At 33.6% G+C, this 1,766-nt stretch overlaps 1 annotated feature.

The window, feature by feature from the left end:
* Positions 752-1,280: an enhancer, noted in NCBI's record as "NANOG hESC enhancer chr1:195305658-195306186 (GRCh37/hg19 assembly coordinates)". NCBI's record gives its function as "activates a minimal SCP1, AML or CMV promoter by ChIP-STARR-seq in naive H9 embryonic stem cells {active_cell/tissue: H9 hESC(naive)}" and the evidence as "EXISTENCE:reporter gene assay evidence [ECO:0000049][PMID:30033119]".

The raw sequence follows: 1,766 nt of genomic DNA on the forward strand, positions 1-1,766 counted from the left end.
TATTGATGAATAAGCTCTTATGCAGTTCTCTGGAATTCTGAAATTTCAGGTTAACATAGCTTTTTTTTTTTCTTTCTTCTCTTTTTGGTTCTTCATTTTTTTTCTGCATACAAAATGCTTAAGTTCCGCCCTCAACACTTAAGTTCCGCCCTCACCACTGATCACTATCATCCAACTAATCCAACAGCCTCATAAAAGATCATTCCCTAGTAGTAAGGACAAGATAAGCAACCATAAAGATCTTCAATTTGTACATGATCAGGAAGATAATATAATTAGCCACAGAGGAACTATTTTCTATTATTTTATTACTTTGTAATATTAAATATTCTAATATATGAAAATATTTAAATATTAATATAACAAGTGCAGATTAAAGTAAGAGTATTAATTTTTTTGGTGTTCTTTTATGTCAAGTTTTTTTCTAATTAAAGATATAGTCTCAAGTTAATTCTATCATTTTTCCAGAAAAGCAATTTCTCTTCTAAACTCAGTTTGTATAATTTTTATTAAAAAAGTTGAGAGAATATATCTTCTTTAATTTATCATACCATGTACTCTAATACAATATACAAGATGGCATTCTGTATTTCTAATATGATTATCACTCCAGTTTAAATAAATACATAATATTCTAATTTCCACAAATTTATGTCACTAATATTATACTGAAACTGTTTTATATCTAATACTATATCTTAGGAAATAATACTAAGCAGTTGCTCTATCCGAGCAATACATTGCTTATCTCAGAAATTAGAAAATATTAAGCTTGAAGGCAGCTTAAGATGCCACCTTCCCCAGATCTGGGCTTTGAGGCAATGAAAATTAGCATTGTTAATTACCTAGATTCAAACCATTCGATTACTTTGTGAGCAGCTAAAACAAACAAACAGAAAAAAACAGTTTCAGGTAATCTCTTTTCTGGTTGGGCTTTGATTAATGTATTGATTAATGTAAATCAATCAAGGTTATTTAATGTCCCTTTGTTACAGGTGAACCCCCAAATTGAGGCTCATCCCAGGAAGCCACATGCTTTATTGGTTCCCAGCAGGAAAGAATTCAAGAGCGAGCCCACATAGTAAAGTGAAAGCAAGTTTATTGAAAAGTAAAGAAATAAAAGGATGGCTGCTTCATAGGCAGAGCAATGCTACCCCATAGGCAGAGTAGCACTGATGGAGTGCTGCTAGCTGGCTACTTTATGACTATTTCTTCATTATGTGCTAAACAAGGGGTAAATTATTCATGAGTTTTCTGGGAAAGCAGGGGTGGAGAGGGAGGCTTAAGGACCAGGGTTTCTCCCCTTTCCAGGCCATATAGGGTAACTTCTGGATGTTACTGTGGTATTTGTAAATTGTCATGGCACTGGCAGGAATGTTTTTTAGCATGCTAGTGCATTATAATTAGTGTAAAAGGAGCAGTGAAGGTCATTTTTCCTGCCATCTTGATTGTAGCTAGTTTATGCCGGTTTCTTTACTGTATCCTCTGTTATCAGTGGGATTTTGTGACCTGTTGTTTACCGTTTCCTGTCTTAGCAGGATCATCTTGGGAAATAGTCCTGATGAATTCCTGTCTCCCCTTCATAGGTTTTCTTTTTTGTTGTTTTTTTTATTTTTTTGCTGTGGCAGAGAATGTAAGCCTAATGTTGTAATTCAGTTTTTAGCAGAGGCTAGCTCAGTAATAGATACATACTCTGACCTTGTAAATAAGATCTGAGAAATATTTCCTCAATGTCAAAATAATGAATAGACAGTCGTTACAAATTT

This window comes from Homo sapiens, chromosome 1, assembly GCF_000001405.40.
Source record: "Homo sapiens chromosome 1, GRCh38.p14 Primary Assembly".
Taxonomy (NCBI): Eukaryota; Metazoa; Chordata; class Mammalia; order Primates; family Hominidae; genus Homo; species Homo sapiens.